The sequence below is a fragment of the Homo sapiens genome, chromosome 2 (assembly GCF_000001405.40).
Source record: "Homo sapiens chromosome 2, GRCh38.p14 Primary Assembly".
Classification (NCBI taxonomy): domain Eukaryota; kingdom Metazoa; phylum Chordata; class Mammalia; order Primates; family Hominidae; genus Homo; species Homo sapiens.
Genome location: NC_000002.12, coordinates 231,764,009 through 231,781,569, shown reverse-complemented (window position 1 = coordinate 231,781,569; position 17,561 = coordinate 231,764,009). Strand labels below are relative to the sequence as shown.

Here is a 17,561-nt window from a genome sequence, read left to right as displayed (position 1 = left end):
CAACTCAGCTGCCGTCTCAGACGGCTAGTGTGCTCAGTGGCTGGAGCAGGTCCCTAAAGCCTCTGCAGATCCGAAGCCAACCCTCCGCTGGGACAAACTCTAGGCAACAACACCAGATGAATATTGTGTCCTATGGGACTTCCCGGGGAGGGCCCTTCCCATTGACGTTAACAGTCCCCCTGCGAAGCCGCTGCGCGCTCCTACTGGCTGGTTGAGATGCCAATCGCCAAGGCTGGCTTTCCATTGGTTCCAGGAGGGCACTGCGAGGCTAGGGGGAAGGAGAAGGGATCAGAAGCGGGAGCTGAGGGGAGAGAGAGGCCGGTCCTGGTCTGGCCGCTGCGGCTGCTAGCCCGAGGTCTCCAAGCCGGGCTGCGGCTCCATCCTCGGCTCCTGGGCACCGTCTGCGAGGCTCCGCCGACCAGAGTGAGAAAGCCGCGGGCGGCGACCGCCGCATCATGTCAGCCAAGGACGAGCGGGCCAGGGAGATCCTGAGGGGCTTCAAACTGTATCCGTCCGGGAGCGGGGCGGGGCCGGGAGGACTTGGGAGGCGGCCGCTCACTGAGGAGACTGGCCGGGGGCGGGGGCCGCGCCAGGTGGGCCCCACAGAAGAAGGGCCGCGGGAGGGGAGAGGAAAGGAACAGCGTGCCGAGCACCCGGCGGGACCCGGCGCGAGAGGCGCCCCAAGGGGCGTCCTGAGGGAGGAAGGGGACGTTGACGGGAGCGCCGGGGGGTGGCGGGTGGAGACGGGGGAGCCTGGGGGACGGGGCTGCGAGAGGTGCCGGGCGTCGGAAACGCTGTCGGAGAAGCCGGCTGGGTTCCGATCCCCGGCCGGGACCCAGAGGCCGGGATGGGGCTGCGGCCCGCGGAGAAGGGCTGAGGGGGCGCGGTGGGCTGATCTCGAAGCCTAGAAGCCTCTTTGGCTATAAGCCTACCCGGGGAGCGGGGAACAGTGACTTGGAGCGGGCGACCTTGTGTGGGACAAATACCAGTGCTTTTAAAACTCTCTCAGGTCCCCCACCGCACCGCACCGCACCCCACCCCCGTCTGGTTTCCACAACTTCTCTTCCAAACTTGTGGCTTCTTCCAGGACTGGAGTAGTTGGGGGAGGTGGGGAAAGAGAAGTCCAAGATCGACCTCGTCTTAACACTCTTGGCCTTCTCAGGCATTGGTCACTGCTTCCCCCTCAGCGCCTCAGTTTTCTTTCCAGCAAGATGAGGACCATAGGCTTAGGTGTGGGGTGCCTCGCGCTGGGACTCCTAGCCGAGGTGTCTTTGCTCGCTCCTGTCGGTGCGGTTATGCCTAGCTGTGGTGGAGCTGTCCAGCAATGGTGTGATGTCGCTGGGGCCACGGTAGGATAGAGTGGGGTAGAGAAATCATTGCCTCGGGCCTGTTGTGGTGCCCCTTTTGCATCCTCTCCGTAAGGAAGCTTTGTGTTTTCGTGGAGTGTGTTAGTCTGTCACCATATGATGCAGATGAAAAAATGCAAACTTGGATATTCAAATTTTCCATTCTCCTGCCAACTTTAATCTCTTCATGCATCCTATCTGTAATCTATAGTACGAACGTTCTTAAATTGCTCCCTCAGTGAAAAGGTAGTCACCACTTCAGGGCTCCTCCCTTGGAGGTTTAGTAAAGCACTGTTTTCTTGGTATTCTGTTGCGTTTTCACAATGTCCATGTCACGCTTGCAAATTTAATTGCTTTGCTATAATCAGAAACCAAGTTGGTAATACATTTTAGACCACAGTGCAAAAAGGAAGTTTTGGATGTACAAGTGAGATTTTTCGAATGGAAATTGATCTATGCTTTTTAAAAAAACTAAAGGCTGTATCACCTTTGCATACTACCATCTGTGATAAACTTTCAGTACTTTCATGTTTTGGTTTAGTAGCAGCCTCTTTTATAGCTCCATGTGCCTTTCTGTGTTTCTCTCCATAATGGATCAAATAGGTATATAGGGATGACTGAAGTGCTGGAAAAGCTATGACATGGATTTTATTTTTCCCTCAAATAATTTATACTATTAACATCTAACAATGTAATAATATTGCTACTTAACATGCTTTGTAGACAGTAAACCGGAAACTGGAGAATTGAGAGATTTCAGAAGCAACGTTTTCATCTGATTGGAAATACCGTATTGCTGAAAAGAAGAAAGGCCTTTTTAATGGCTTTTGAACAAAGCAGAAAAGTTTGAGCTTCTCACCTTCAGTCTTAGCTCTTGAACCTGTTGAGAAAGAGGATAAGAGACAAATACGGAAAAGAGTTTCAGAAAGCAGAATCTGTGTCAGCCCACTGGAAGGAAAAGCGAATCAACCGATTCAGTGATGTTAGTGCATCCAGAAACAGGCTTTTGGGAAAAGCTTGACCTGAGCTGATTAAATCCTGAAGCACAAGGGAAGCAGCCACATCAAAAAGTTAGCATGAGAGCAGTGGCGTGCTCATCCTCTGGTAGCCTTTACTGGGCATTTGTGGAGTAAGAGAGAAAAGAAAAGCAGGAATGTTAAGATATGCTACTACCTTCAGGAAAAAGTAAAATTAATGTTTTAGTAAGAAACTGACTATTGTCCACCTTTTATTGGGTAAATAGATTTTCTGAACTTTCTTTCAGAGTATCTGTTTCTGTAAGAATAGTTTATCACTGCAAAAAGAGCACCATTATGTTCTCCCACCAGCAGTGTTGATAGTACTCAGTTTTCCACGTTGACTAGGTCAGTCTTTTTTATTTGCCAGTTTGGATAACAAATGATACATTGTTTTAATTGGTATTCTTCTGGATCCCTAGATCCATGAAAAGGTAATGTAGCATAGTGGTTAAGAGCTATACTGGACTATGTCTCTATACTGCCTGCATTGGAATTCCAGCCCTGCGCTCCTAGTTGTGTGTCCCTGAGCAACTGCTTTAACCTCACCTCAATTTTCTTATCTGTAAGATGGGGAAAATAATAGTACCTATCTCATGGGGCTGTAAGAGTAAATGAGTTGATATCTAAAGCATTTAGAAAAGCACCTGATCCACAGTGAGCATTATGCTTTAGCCAGTGTTATTCTTGTTATTATTAGAGAAGTTGCACATCTCTTCTATTTGGCCATTTCTTTTTCTTCTGTAAATTGTTTGTTAATTTTGTTTTTGCCCATTTTACTATTGTTTATTTTTCTTATTTGTAGATGTTCTTTACATATTGTAATATCAATCCTTTGCCTATTATGTATTTTGCAAATATTTTCTTTCAATGTATTGTCTCCTTTTTTGTTGAACAGAATTTTTAAATTGTCATTTCAAATTTATTTTATTTCATTTGTTTGAGACGGAGTCTTGGTCTGTTGCCCAAGTTGGAATGCAGTGGCGCAATCTTGGCTCACTGCAACCTCCGCCTCCCAGGTTCAAGCAATTCTCCTGCCTCAGCCTCCTGAGTAGCTGGGATTACAGGTGCATGCCACCATGCCCAGCTAATTTTTGTATTTTTAATAGAGATGGGGTTTCACCATGTTGGCCAAGCTGTTCTCAAACACCTGACCTCATGATCTGCCTGCCTCTGCCTCCCAAAGTGCTGGGATTACAGGCATGAGCCACCGTGCCTGGCCTCAAATTTATTAATATTTGCCATCTGGCTTTTGCATTTTGTATCTTGTTTAAAAAGATCTTTCTTATCCCAAGATTAACTAAATATCCTATCTTTTCTTCTCTTTTCAATGTTTAGCTCTTTAATCCACCTGGAACGTATTTACACATTTGGTATGTGGTAGACATCTAAGTACTTCTGCTGTTTGGATAGCCAATAGTTCCAGTACTATTTACTAAGTAGTTAGTCCATCTTTTCCTCACTGTTTTGAAATGCCATCCTTGTCATATACTAAATTTTCATAAGACATAGGTTTTTTTTTGGATTATTTCTGTTTCATTGATCTATTTGTCTCTTCTTGTACCTATACACATTTGATTGAATTATTATAGCTTTATAATATGATTTAGTATAGTTTACAATAGAATGGTCTGTGACTAACATAATATGTGTGTTTAAGGTCCCTACAAATATGTGCCCCTTTTGTTCACATGGAAGCTTGCCCATATGCCCATAGTAGATAGAAACATGAGGACTTGGCTGGGCATGGTGACTCACACCTGTAATCCCAGCACTTTGGGAGGCCTAGGTGGGAGGATTGCTCAAGGCCAGGAGTTCAAGACCAACCTGGCCAACATAGCGAGACCCCCAACTCTAAAAAAAAAAAATTTAAAGATACTGCATAAAAGTGAATACTGTATGCATAAATTAGGCATGGTCTGAGTGAATTCAGTAGAAGCTTTGTATTTGCCATCAGTTGTTTCAAAAACAAAATCTTATAAGATTTTATTCTTGTATCACCTTCACCCCATCTCACCCTACCTCTTTCAGAGTATCTGTTTTTGTGAGAAGAGTTTATCACTACAAAAAGAGCACCATTATGATCTCCTGCCAACAGTGTTGATAGTACTCAGTTTTCCACGTTGACTAGGTCAATCTTTTTTATTTTTGCCAGTTTGGACAACACATTGTTTCGATTTGTATTTTCCTGGATCCCTAGATCCATACAAGGTAATATAGCATAGTGGTTAAGAGCTATACTGGACTGTGGCGCTATACTACCTCTCAAGAAATGCAAGGCTCTCATACACATTAAGAACCTTGCATTTCTTTCTTGTTTGTTAAAAGCATAACATTTCCTAATTGTAAATTAATGTTATGAATGAAATGTTACTTGGGGAACAATATGATTCTCCTGCAAATATTTTGGATTTGATTATTTTAAGCAGCTGACATAGAGATTGATGTTTGTAAATCCCACGTTTCCCATTTCGTTCCTTCAACAAAGGTCTGTTGGGTGACTATTATGTATAGGGCACTCTACACTTGAAGGATACAAAAATGAATAACTTACAGTCCCTTCTTTCCAGAAGCTTAACCAGCTTTATGTCTGTTTAGAAGGAATATCTTCAAAAGCAATGCATTTTTTAAAATTCTATTTAATTTTCCTATTACAAACGCCAGCCACCTAGAGTGACCTTTGTAAATATTATTTAATATAGCCTTCTAATGTAGCTAATGTTTAATGTGTTTTTTATAAAAATGGAATTGTAAATATCACTTTGTAACTTACTTTGTTCACTTAATAATAGATTTACCATGTTTATGATTTCCAAAGATAGTTACTTTCAGTTGCTTTCACTGACAGATTTGTCACAGTACTCTTTTTTTTTTTTTTTTTTTTTTGAGACGGAGTCTTGCTCTTGTCACCCCGGCTGGAGTGCAGTGATGTGATCTCAACTCACTGCAACCTCTACCTCCGGAGTTCAAGCGATTCTCCTGCCTCAGCCTCCCAAGTAGCTGGGATTACAGGCACCTGCCACCACGCCCGGCTAATTTTTGTATTTTTAGTAGAGAGGGGGTTTCGCCATGTTGGCCAGGCTGGTCTCGAACTCCTGACCTCAGGCCTCCCAAAGTGCTGGGATTACAGGCGTGAGCCACTGCACCTAGCATTTGTCACAGTACTCTTATACTAGCTTTCTAGTATAGTCTGTATCTACTGTTTTGCCTATTTGAATAGCTTTTTCATCAACATAAAAATATAACTTTATTAAATTAACAAGAAACTGACAGACTTCCATAAGAATGAATTATGCTTTTATGATTTCATTATCTTTAATCCATCTGAATTTTCTTTGGTATAAGATACAGAGTAGTAATGTAGCTTTTTTTTAATATTGGCTTATTGTCTCCATTTATTTATTTAATTCATTTATACGTCAGATATTATAATATCCAGAATATAAATGGCTGCCTACAAATCAATAGGATAAGCATTTAACTCAAAGTGGACAAAGGATATGAACAAGCAGTTCCTAGAAGAAAAAGCAGATGACCAATGAATAAATGAGGACATGCTCAACCTTGTTAAAATAATAGACTATCTTCCGGGTGCAGGGGCTCATGCCTGTAATCCCAGCACTTTGGGAGGCCAAGGTGGGTGGATTGCTTGAGCCTAGAAGTTTGAGACCAGCCTAGGCAACATGGCAAGACCCCGCCTCTACAAAAAAAAAAAAAAAACACACACAAAAATTAGCCAGGTGTGGTGGTGCATGCTTGTGGTCCCAGCTACTGGGAGGCTGAGGTGAGGGGATCACCTGAGCCTGGGAGGTGGAGGTCGCAGTGAGCCAAGACTGTGCCCCACTGCATTCCAACCAGGGTAACAGAGTGAGACCCTGTCAATAATAATAATAATGGACTATCTCTTCCCAATTAATTGACACAGATTTAAAAGATTGATAATATATATGTATATCCTGAAAGTGGCACTGTACGAAAATAAAATTAAAAATTAGGCCAGGCACAGTGGTTCACGCCTGTAATCCCAACACTTTGGGAGACCAAGGTGGGCAGATCACTTGAGGCCAAGAGTTTGAGACCAGCCTGCCCAACATAGCAAAACTCCCTCTCTATTAAAAATACAAAAAATTAGCCAAACTTGGTGGCACACGCCTGTAATCCCAGCTGCTCAAGAGGCAGAGGCAGGACAATTGCTTGAACCCAGGAGGCAGAGGTTGCAGTGAGCTGAGATCACACCACTGCACTCCAGCCTGGGCTACAGAGTGAGACTCTGTCTCAAAAAAAATAAAAATAAAAATTTATTAAAAAAAAAAAAGATGCCAGGCACAGTGGCTCATGCCTGTAATGCCAGCACTTTGGGAGGCCAAGGTGGGCGGATTACTTGAGGTCAGGGATTCGAGGCCAGCCTGGCCAACATGGTGAAACCCCGTCTCTACTAAAAATACAAAAATTAGCTGGGCATGGTGTGGACAGCTGTAATCCCAGCTATTATTAGGGTGCCTGAGGCAGAAGAATCACTTGAACCTGGGAGGCCAAGGTTGCAATGAGCCGAGATTGCACCACTGCACTCCAGCCTGGGTGACAGAGAGAGACTCAGTCTCAAAAAAAAAAAAAGATAATATTCAGTGTTCACAACATTGAGGGAAAGGGGCACTCTCATTTGGTTTATGTGTGTGTGTGTAGTGTCTGTAGAAAGTAATTGGTATCTATCAAATGTTTACACATTACTGCAGTAGAGTATATAGCACAGTGGTTGAGAGTATGGGCTCACTTCCAAGGTTTAGACTTACTGCCTCTGCTATTGTGACTCTCAACAGAACACTCAGACTCTGAGCCTCAGCATCTGTATCTCATATTATCAGAGGGTTGTTTTGAGAATTAAATGAAACTGCATAAAAGATGTTTGGTTCAGGGCCTGGCATATAGTAATATCTGCTGCCATTCATTTTATTAATAATTACTAATAATAATGACAGGCCAGGTATAGTGGTTCATGCCTGTAATCCCAGCTCTTTGGGAGGCCGAGGTGGGTGGATCACCTGAGTTTGGGCATTCAAGACCAGCCTGGCCAACATGGTGAAATCCCGTCTCTACTAAAAATACAAAATTAGTCAGGCGTAGTGGTGTGCACCTGTAATCCCAGCTACTCGGGAGGCTGAGGCAGGAGAATTGCTTGAACCCAGGAGGTGGAGGTTGCAGTGAGCCGAGATCACGCCAGTGCACTCCAGCCTGGGTAACAGAGTGAGACTCCATCTCAATAATAATAATAATAATAATGACAATAGTGTTAATATGATTGTAAAGCTACTTATTTCTCTGAGATATAACTAATGCCTTCATTCTAGTTATATTTTCTTACTGAAAAACTATCGTATTTCCATTTTGCCTCTGAATAAATGATTCAATAAGCATTGATATATACCTCATGTTTATCTTGTCTAGAAAATGAATCTCATTCTAATTTATGGCAGGTTAGCAAAAAGAGTTTGGGCTCAGAAGGTTTCTGAAAGCATCTTTCACTTGTTTTCTTACATTTCTTCTCCCATAGTTTGGTCCTGGAATCCCTGTATCTTCTTTCTCATAGTACCTTAATCCTTGACTTTGCTTCCAATCAAAAAACAGTTGGCTTTACATCTTCTATTTACTCACTTAGAATAAAGAATAAGAATAGTAGACATATTAAGAAAAGTCGACTGTAGAACTTCTCTTGAAAGTCAGTATTCCCTGGTACAGTTGCCTTGGCCAAATGTTAAAAATGAATTTGAGGTTTATTATTTCCCATAATATAGGTTTTGTCTGACAACCCAAAGTCTTGGAAAGCAACCAGACATACCACTCATAAAGCCCAGTTTCATGTAGATTGTGATTGGTAGCTTGTTTCCTCATGCATGGACTCTTGAGAGTTTGTATTGTTATCCTGAATGGATTAAATGAATATAATGTCCTATTGATTATCTTAGGATTCTTTTTTTCTTTTCTGCGACAGGGTCTCATTGTCATCCAGGCTGGTGCTATCATAGCTTACTGCAGCCTTGACCTCCCAGGCTCAGATGATCCTCTGCCTCACCCTCCTGAGTGCCTGGGTGCACAGGTGTGCACCACTATACCCAGCTAATTTTCGTATTTTTTCTTTGTAGAGAAACGGTTTCACTATGTTGCCCAGGCTGGTCTTGAACTTCTGGGCTCAAGTGATTTGCCCACCTTGGCTTCCCAAAGTGCTAGGATTACAGACGTGAGCCACCACGCCCGGCCTTACTTAGGATTCTTAAACAGGCATTCCTGCTTTTGTTTTTTGGAAGGAATTTAGTGTATAATTAGATATTTATAGTCTTCTACTGACTTTCTAAGTTTCTTGCCAGGGTTGTGTATATGGTTTATAATGAAACATTACAGTAACTTCTGGAGAAATGGGACAGAACACGGTAAAACTGTCATGGAGAATTCCAGTTGTATCACCACTACATTTGATAAAGGACTAGCAATGGTTCTGAGGCTTGGAAGCTCTAGGTTCTTACTAGGGTTGACCTCAGTTTTGCCTCCCAGGCCTCACTTGTCAGCATTCTGCATCCACAAATCCTCGTGTTATGAGAGGATTTGACTTATAGACCTATCCCTCTCTATTCCTGAGCTAAAGCCTAGCATCATAGGAAGGAATTTTAAGGCCATCTTCTCCAGCAGCCTGACTATTCTAATAATTGCTTGAATGCGTAAAACTCAAATTGTCAAAGTTCTGAGAGCAGCATTCTTTTTTGCTTTTGACCTGCTTATAATTTTGGAGCTGGGAAGAAAAGCAAATATATTTCTTACAGTCCAATATCCACAAAGATTTCAATGGATTGGACTAAAGCTTACTGTTTATGGCAAAGAAGGCGATGGTCTCACCGTAGGACACATGAAAGCTTGTTTAGTCTACTGCAAAGGGAGGCAGGGGAAAGTGGAGCTGGTATAAAGGTGGGCCACTTGAAACATGGCATACATTCAATAATGGGGGAACTGAAGGGAGTTTAACCTAAAGATGAAAAGAGTTGGACAAGAGATATGAGTATTCTCTTCTAAAGTTAAAAAAAAAAAACAACTGTTCTAAAGAGGAAGAATTAAATGTTGCTGTGTAGCTCTCAGAGGAAGTACAAGATTTGCGGGGTAGAAATTACAGGTGACAGAGTTTAGGCCAGTTTCTAACAATTAGTAGAATTACCTGAAAAAAGACATTTTCCAGAAAGTGTTTTAAGCAGCAGATAGATGCCTGTCTGTCAAGAGTGTTGCAGAGGGAAATTTTGTATGTATCAAATGTGTATTACAGTAGATGATCTACAGAAATACTCAAATCCTTTTCCAGCACTACAATTCTTTGATTTGGTGACAGCCTTTCTTACTTAACAAGTACTTTTTTTGGCAAATGTTTATATTGAGATATGTTCTACACCTAAAATCGGCAAAAAGTTTTTTTGTGACCCAATTGTTTCCTTTTTGTTTCTGACACAACTCTGAGACACTCAGTATTGAAGTGTTTGGTTTAGTGCATTGTGGATACAACTGATTCAGAGTCAAGGAGAGCAATTATTGCCTCTGAATTTAGATAACATTTAGAGAATGAAACATAAATAGCTGTAATATAAATTAGCACTGTAAATATAGCCACAAGAAGAAACAGCATGGTCTAGTAATATCTCATAATTCTATACTGCTTTTCGGTTTTTAAAGAACTTTGATATATTACTGCATTATCACAACAACCCTATTCATTGTTATCCTCACTTTATAGACTAAGGAATTGAGGATCGACGAGGCAGTCACTTAGACGAAGGCAGAACCTTAATTTAAGCCTTGTTTTGTCTTTTTAAAAGTCCATGTTTTCTACAGTATACCATGATGCCTCTCTGGAGAATTTATTCTTTTGTTGTTGTATTATTAATTTTGAGTTTTAAATTTTTCTCAGCTTGGCTGAGCAAGGTGGCTCACGCCTGTAATCCCAGCACTTTGGGAGGCCTAAGTGGGCAGATCACTTGAGGTCAGGAGTTCGAGACCAGCCTGGCCAACACGCCAAACCCCACAGAAGCTATTTGGGAGGCTGAGGCACAAGAATCGCTTGAACCCGGGAGGCAGAGGTTGCTCAAAAAAAAAAAAAAATTTCTCAGCTCACTGCAGCCTTAACCTCCCAGGCTCAAGTGATCCTCCCACCTCAGCCTCTCAGATAACTGGGACTACAGGTGCACACCATCATGCTTGGCTAATTTTTGTGGGTTTTTTTTTTTTTGAAATGAAGTCTCACTCTTGTCACCCAGGCTGGAGTGCAATGGCGCGATCTCAACTCACTGCAACCTCTGCCTCCCAGGTTCAAGCAATTCTCCTGCCTCAGTCTCCCGAGCAGCTGGGATTACAGGCGCCTGCCACCACACCCAGCTAATTTTTGTATTTTTAGTAGAGACAGGGTTTCACCACGTTGGCCAGACCCGTCTCAAACTCCTGACCTCAGGTGATCCATTCACCTCAGCTTCCCAAAGTGCTGGGATTACAGGTGTGAGCCACCATACCCGGCCAATTTTTGTTATTTTTTTAGAGACCAGATTTTGCCATGTTGCCCAGGCTGGTCTTGAACTCTTGGGCTCAAGTGATCTGACTGCCTTGGCCTCCCCAAGTGCTGGAATTAACAGACATGAGCCACCATGCCCAGCCCTTGTCTCAGTGTTTAAGTCACAGCCAGATTTATTTTTCACTTGAAAATTATCCTCTTCTAATGTGGTCATATCTCCTATATTCTTTTTTTTCCCTCAATTCACCAGATACAGGGGCCAGGGTTTAGCCCAGGATAATGAATTTTTTAACAATTAGAGTTACCAGAGGAAAAAAAGACATTTTCCAGAAAATACTTAAGCAGCAGGTGGATATATTCTTGTTTTCATATTTTTTTCATCTTAAGCACAGTCCTCTTAAACATTGTCCTCTGTAGTCAAGAGATGGCTACTCATAGGGGTCTGATTAGCAACTTCAGTGATGATCAAACATAGGAGGTTGTTACTCAAGTCTGATAAGCACAAGATTGTGTCCATATAGTTTTGTCCAATAAAGTAACACAAAATTTATCCCACAACGAAGTTGTTTTCAGATGAGCAATTCAGATAATCTCGTTAATAGGGAAAAAAAGGTGAAAAAGTCTTGGATACTAGCATGGATAAACAAACATGTCCTGGCTTTGTTCAGAATACACAAGGCTACCTTGTGACCAGCTTATTTCAGTTTCATTTTGAAACCTTTTCCTTAAATGTCTATGAAAAATATCAGGTGAAAGTATATTGTGGGTAGCTTATAGAACCAACTCGAGGGTTCCTGTTACAGAGTGTTATTATGCATTTAGAGTTTGTTTCAAAGGCCCCTTAAGTATTTATGGATTGAGATAAGAATCTAACAGACTATTTCCTTTTCTGTGATTCTCTGTTAAAAAATGTGGTCCCATCTGTGGTCTCAGCTATTCAGGAGGCTGAGGCAGGAGGATCACTTGAGCTCAGGAATTCGAGGCTACAGTGAGCTATGATTGTGCCTCTTCATTCCAGCCTGGGCAACAGAGCAAGACCCCATCTCTAGAAACTGTGTGTTTGTGTGTGTCTGTGTGCATGTGTGTGTATATGTATATCTGTGTGTGTATGTGTATATATATATATACATATCTCTGTGTGTGTGTGTGAGAGAGAGAGAGAGAGAGCAAATTGTAGGATAGTCATAATTATGCCATGTGTGGCACTGCTACCTAGGTGACTACTCTGTGTGAAAAGTATGGTTTTCACCAGGTCACTGCTAAAGATTAAGAAAAAGGGACTAAATCTGAGATTCAGCATTTTCATGAAATAGGAAGTGAGAAATGTAACTGTAAGCCTTAATTGCTTTTGAGCCATCTTCTGCCTAAGGAGCAAAGACAAAGGAACCAGAAAAGCTGCGTTCTGGTCATAGTGCTGCCACTCACTGGCCATTCATTCAGACATTTGTTAACAGAATCTGTACGTGGCATATCATCTGCTAAACCAAAGAGAAAGAAAATGATAAAGCAGGCCAGGCATGGTGGCTCACGCCTGTAATCCCAACATTTTGGGAGGCCAAGGTGGGCGGATCACATGAGGTCAGGAGTTCGAGACCAGCCTGACCAGTATGATGAAACCCCGTCACCACTAAAAATACCAAAATGAGCCGGGCGTGGTAGCGTGTGCCTGTAATCCCAGCTACTCGGGAGGCTGAGACAGGAGAATCGCTTAAACCCAGGAGGCGGAGGTTGCAGTGAGGTGAGATCGTGCCATTGCACTCCAGCCTGGGCAACAAGAGCGAAACTCCCGCTCAAAAAAAAGAAAATGATAAACCAGTTTCCATGACCAAATAACTTGTATTATATAAGGGAGAGAGAAAGAGACCATAACAATCAGAATGCAATGTGTTACATGCCGAGTAGTATCAAGTACTGTGGAAACTCAGAGAAAGGGTGACTCCTACTAGGGGTGTTGTGGGAGACTTCAAGAATTATCACTTGAGGTCGGGCGCGGTGGCTCACGCCCGTAATCCCAGAACTTTGGGAGGCTGAGGCGGGTGGATCACTTGAAGTCAGGAGTTGGAGACCAGCCTGGCCCATGGTTTCAACATGGTGAAACCCTGTCTCTACTAAAAATACAAAAATTAGCTGGGCGTGGTGGTGCATGCTTGTAATCCCAGCAACTCAAGAGGCTGAGGCAGGAGAATCGCCTGAACCTGGGTGGAGGTTGCAGTGAGCCAAGATCACGCCACCGCACTCCAGCATGTACGACAGAGGGAGACTCCATCTCAACAACAACAACAACAAAAGGATTATCACTTGAATAGGATCTTAAAAGATGAGGTGTTACCCAGTTTAATCTTTATGACAGTAGGGAGTAACAGAGGAAGGAAAGTGTTTCAAGAGTGAGTTGGAGTCAGGAATGAGGAAGGATGAGGACCAAACAAATTCTTGGAATTCTTTGAAATTTTATTCATTAATGATATTTAAGAATCAGCTGAGAGTCCCATGATACCTTATAGGTCATTGTGATCTTTTTAAGAATAATAGATAGTGGCAGATACAGTGGCTCACACCTGTAATCCCAACACTTTGGGAGGCTAAGGTGTATGGATCCCTTGAGCTCAGGAGTTTGAGACCAGCCTGGGAACATGGTGAAACCCTGCCTCTACCAAAAATACAAAAATTAGCCAGGCATGGTAGTGTGTGCCTGTAGTCCCAGCTACTCGGGAGGCTGAGGTAGGAGTATCACTTGAGCCCAGGAGGCAGAGATTGCAGTGAGCCAAGATTGTGCCACTGGCTACTGCACTCCACTCTGGGCCACAGAGCAAGAACTTGTCTGGAAAAAAAAAAAAAAAAGAATAGTTAAAGAAACAAAGTATAATCTTTCAAGATTAGAAAATGAATACATGAGGAAATAAAGTCAGAAATAATAGATTACTCTTTCAAGAAATCTGGTGGCCTAAGAAAGCAGATATTAGGGGAGCAGCTTGAGTGGGTAGATAGAATTCATTAAATAATGGAAATCACTTATTTAAGCTGACTTTGTACAAGTCACTTAATATCTGTAAAACAAGGATAAAGTGGTTGGGTGCGGTGGCTCACACCGTAATCCCAGCACTTTGGGAGGCCAAGGCGGGCAGATCACAAGGTCAGGAGATTGAGACCATCCTGGCTAACTCGGTGAAACCCTGTCTGTGCTAAAAACACAAAAAATTAGCCAGGCGTGGTGGCGGGCGCCTGTAGTCCCAGCTACTCAGGAAGCTGAGGCAAGAGAAGGGCATGAACCTGGGAGGCAGAGCTTGCAGTGAGCCAAGATCGCACCACTGCACTCCAGCCTTGGCAACGGAGACTCTGTCTCAAAAAAAAAAAACAAGGATAATGCATGCTGTTTGATGGAGATGTTATGAAATTTGAACGAAATAATACATGCCAACTCAATTTAAAAACCATAGCTCTTCAAATGCACTATGCTTGCTATTACATTATTACAATCATTATTTACCTTTGCTTTAAAGTAGGATATCAGAAAAGTCAGAGCCTTAGTGATTGTTTTTTACTTTAGCTTCGATACCTGTGAGCCTTTTTTCACATTTCTGGGAATTAATTGTGGCTCTTGGAGTGACAACAGAAGAAACCCCCAGATGACACTGAAAAACCAGAATCATCTTTGACTTAGCTTTTTTTTTTTTTTTTTTTTTTTTTGAGACGGAGTCTCGCTCTGTCACCCAGGCTGGAGTGCAGTGGCGTGATCTCAGCTCCCTGCAACCTCCGCCTCCCGGATTCCAGCCATCCCGAGTAGCCTCAGCCTCCCGAGTAGCTGGGATTACAGGCATGCACTACCATGCCCAACTGATTTTTGTATTTTTAGTAGAGACAGGGTTTCAGTTGGCCAGACTGGTCTCAAACTCCCCCTGACCTCAGATGATCCACCCTTCTCAGCCTTCCAAAGTACTGGGATAATAGGCATGAGCCACCATGCCCCGCCAGCTTTCATTTTTTTAAGAGTTATAATTTGAAGGAGTTGAGTTTCTTCCCAATACTATAGCATTTTTTAAAAACTGGGTGAAATTCAGGAATCTGAATGTAGATTTTGACAGGATTCAAGGCAATATCCCTGTGCCTCCAAATAACCTGAAAGAAACAGTGGCCCTTTTGGGAACATGCCCTTGGGAAAAGGCCTTGTATTATTTCTTCCTCAGTCAGGAGGTGCTGGGAAGCAAATAAAAGTGCAAAGGGAGCCTCTAAGAATCTCTTTGGATATGTCTCTTCTAGCTTGTTTCTGACCAGTTCCAGGCACATAACTGTACATGTCAGTAGGATAATGGGCTGACTAGAAAAAAGAAAGGTTTGCGTTATTGTTTGACTTTGCTAGGGAGAAGACTGTGTTATGTTTCAAATACTGATCTTTTTCTCATTACTAAATTACTTGCCTCCACTGTTTCCCAGGCCAGTTTGAATTTTGATTGTATACTTTCCAAGCATAGTAACTTTGCCAGCACAAGAGTATTATTTCACGGGGATATCACCACTGATTACAATGCTGCATATTATGTTTCAAGGATACTGAAACCTGGGTTCTCAGAGATCCATTTATATTTTCTCATCTTATCCCCCATAAATGGGAAAATCACTGGGAAATTATTGGGTGGAGAAATGCATTTAAATGACCGTGAATTAGAATTGGTCCTTAAGAAGGAACTAAAGGCAGAATGCTCTGTATAACCAACACTAAGGCAGAAGCATAAGAGGGCTCTGACATAAGTGGTATTTAAGAATTAATGAAGAAAGTGGGAGTAAGAGAAGGAAATGAGTTCAGAAAGGAAACAAGGAGGAGAGAGTTTGAGAGGGGAGAGATCATAAAGGCAAAGTGTGAAAAGATAGAGAACAGGAAGAAAAAAGCCACAACCAAAAACTATGAAAACAGAGTAAAGACAGACAGCCCTGTAATGAAAATGCTCAGGATACCACCAAATAGAAACTCCCTTTGTTTACTGCTAGTCATTGCAGCTGCTTCCACCCCAAAGTAATGAGAAGGGAGAGGTTTTTCTTTATGCCTGTGACCTTGGTTTTGAAGCTTTGCCTCATAGTGCTCTGGTCTGCCATAGTAGACATTAGCATATATCATTATATGCTTAGTCAGCCATTTTGCCTGAAAAATATACTTACCTGGAAATTACTCAGAGCCACATGCCCATATATAATTTATGAGTACTCTGTCAAGTCATGAATTCAAACTTAATGCAGAATGGGCTTTTAAATTCTAATATATTGTTACTTGCAATTCAGCTGACTGACTTAGGTGTTGTCCTTAGGGAGAGTGGAGGTTTTTTGGTTCGTTGGTGGGTTGGTTTTTGCTTTTTTTTTCTTTCTGAGTTCCAGGTTTAAGTTGCCCCCCTCCCACTTTTTTATTTTTTATTTTTTTTGAGATAGGATCTTGCTTTGCCACCCAGGCTGAAGTGCAGTGGTAAGATCCTGGCTCATTGCAGCCTTGAAATCCTGGGCTCAAGCAGTCCTCCTGCCTCAGCTTTCTGAGTAGCTGGGACTATAGGCACGCACCACTGTATGGCTAATTTGTCTTTTTTTTTTTTTTTCCCTTCCGTGGAGATGGAATCTCACTGTGTTGCCCAGGCTGGTCTTGGATTCCTGGGCTCAAGCAGTCTTCCTGCTTTGGCCTCCCAAAGTGTTGGTATTACAGGCATGTGCCACTGCACCCAGCCTGAATTGCCCTTTTTACAGTCCACTGGACCCTGAAAGCATCGCTTGTGGTTGCTCAGCCTGAAGAGAATTCTAATGAACTCTCCCTCTATTGCTTAGTGTGATTCAACACATATTTGAGTGTCAGTTACATGCTGAGCACTGAGAAGAGAAAGATAAATAATATAGTGTCAGTAGAATTTGACTTGCAAACTAATATATTCATGGTACTCTCCGATAAGTACTGTGACACAGGTATAAACAAGTGGCCAGGATAGGAGGTGATGCTGTAACAAACAACACTTTGGAGAATGGAATGTATGGCAGAGACTGGACTCAGTGTCTTCCTCCAGTAAGCCTTGATTTGCCATCTTGACTTCTTCACCTGAGGCATATAGCAATTTGTTACACATGCTGGCCTCCTGGTTGCCTGTTGATTTCCTGTTCTTTATCAAACTATCCTTTCTGTTGACAGCCTTTCTTATCTCACCCTTCTCTGTTGTCCTTTTAACCTATTAATAGCTCATTAGAAAAAAATTAATATTCCCCATAACTATTTACAAAGCCTAAACTTTCTGTGTTCCTCAGAAATGTGTATGAGGATGGAAGGAGTTTTTGTTGTTTTTGGAGACAGGGTCTCACTCTGTTGCCCAGGCTGTAGTGCAGTGGTGCAATCTTGCCCTCAGCCTCCCAAGTAGCTGGGATTAAAGGCACACACCACCACATGTAGCTAATTTGTTGTTGTTGTTGAGACACAGTCTCACTATATTGCCCAAGCTGGTATCAAACTCCTGGGTTCAAGTGATCCTCCTACCTTGGCCTCCCAAAGTGCTGGGATTACAAGCTTGAGCCACTACATCTGGCAAGATTTTTTATTGAACACTCACACAAGACTAGACTAAGACCTTGTCAAGAGCAAAAGTCTTATCTTATTCTTCCTGTTTCCTAGAACAATGCTGCTTAAACTATGGCTGGCAAAAGAATCGGGGTTTT

At 42.5% G+C, this 17,561-nt stretch overlaps 1 protein-coding gene across 3 annotated transcripts in view, besides 5 other annotated features; it reads left to right on the top strand.

Moving 5' to 3' along the window:
- Window positions 262–491: an enhancer, noted in NCBI's record as "active region_17317". NCBI's record gives its function as "activates an Ori minimal core promoter by ATAC-STARR-seq in GM12878 lymphoblastoid cells {active_cell/tissue: GM12878}" and the evidence as "EXISTENCE:reporter gene assay evidence [ECO:0000049][PMID:35858748]".
- The window catches only part of PDE6D (phosphodiesterase 6D), a 48,850-nt gene continuing 31,576 nt past the window's right edge, over window positions 288–17,561 (top strand). For 2 of the 3 annotated variants that reach the window (NM_001291018.2, NM_002601.4), the window contains exon 1: window positions 288–505. In NM_001291018.2, coding sequence (NP_001277947.1) covers window positions 456–505 — 50 coding nt within the window. In that variant the 5' untranslated portion in view covers window positions 288–455. Of the gene's footprint in view, window positions 506–2,069; window positions 2,848–17,561 lie in introns of those variants that run through there. The other variant, NR_110994.2, reaches the window with a different exon arrangement.
- Window positions 702–751: a silencer, noted in NCBI's record as "silent region_12446". NCBI's record gives its function as "represses an Ori minimal core promoter by ATAC-STARR-seq in GM12878 lymphoblastoid cells {active_cell/tissue: GM12878}" and the evidence as "EXISTENCE:reporter gene assay evidence [ECO:0000049][PMID:35858748]".
- Window positions 875–1,098: a silencer, noted in NCBI's record as "fragment chr2:232645182-232645405 (GRCh37/hg19 assembly coordinates)". NCBI's record gives its function as "represses an EF-1alpha promoter that drives an FKBP-Casp9 reporter gene in an ReSE screen in K562 erythroleukemia cells {active_cell/tissue: K562}" and the evidence as "EXISTENCE:reporter gene assay evidence [ECO:0000049][PMID:32094911]".
- Window positions 875–1,121: a biological region, named in NCBI's record as "ReSE screen-validated silencer GRCh37_chr2:232645182-232645405".
- Window positions 1,042–1,121: an enhancer, noted in NCBI's record as "active region_17316". NCBI's record gives its function as "activates an Ori minimal core promoter by ATAC-STARR-seq in GM12878 lymphoblastoid cells {active_cell/tissue: GM12878}" and the evidence as "EXISTENCE:reporter gene assay evidence [ECO:0000049][PMID:35858748]".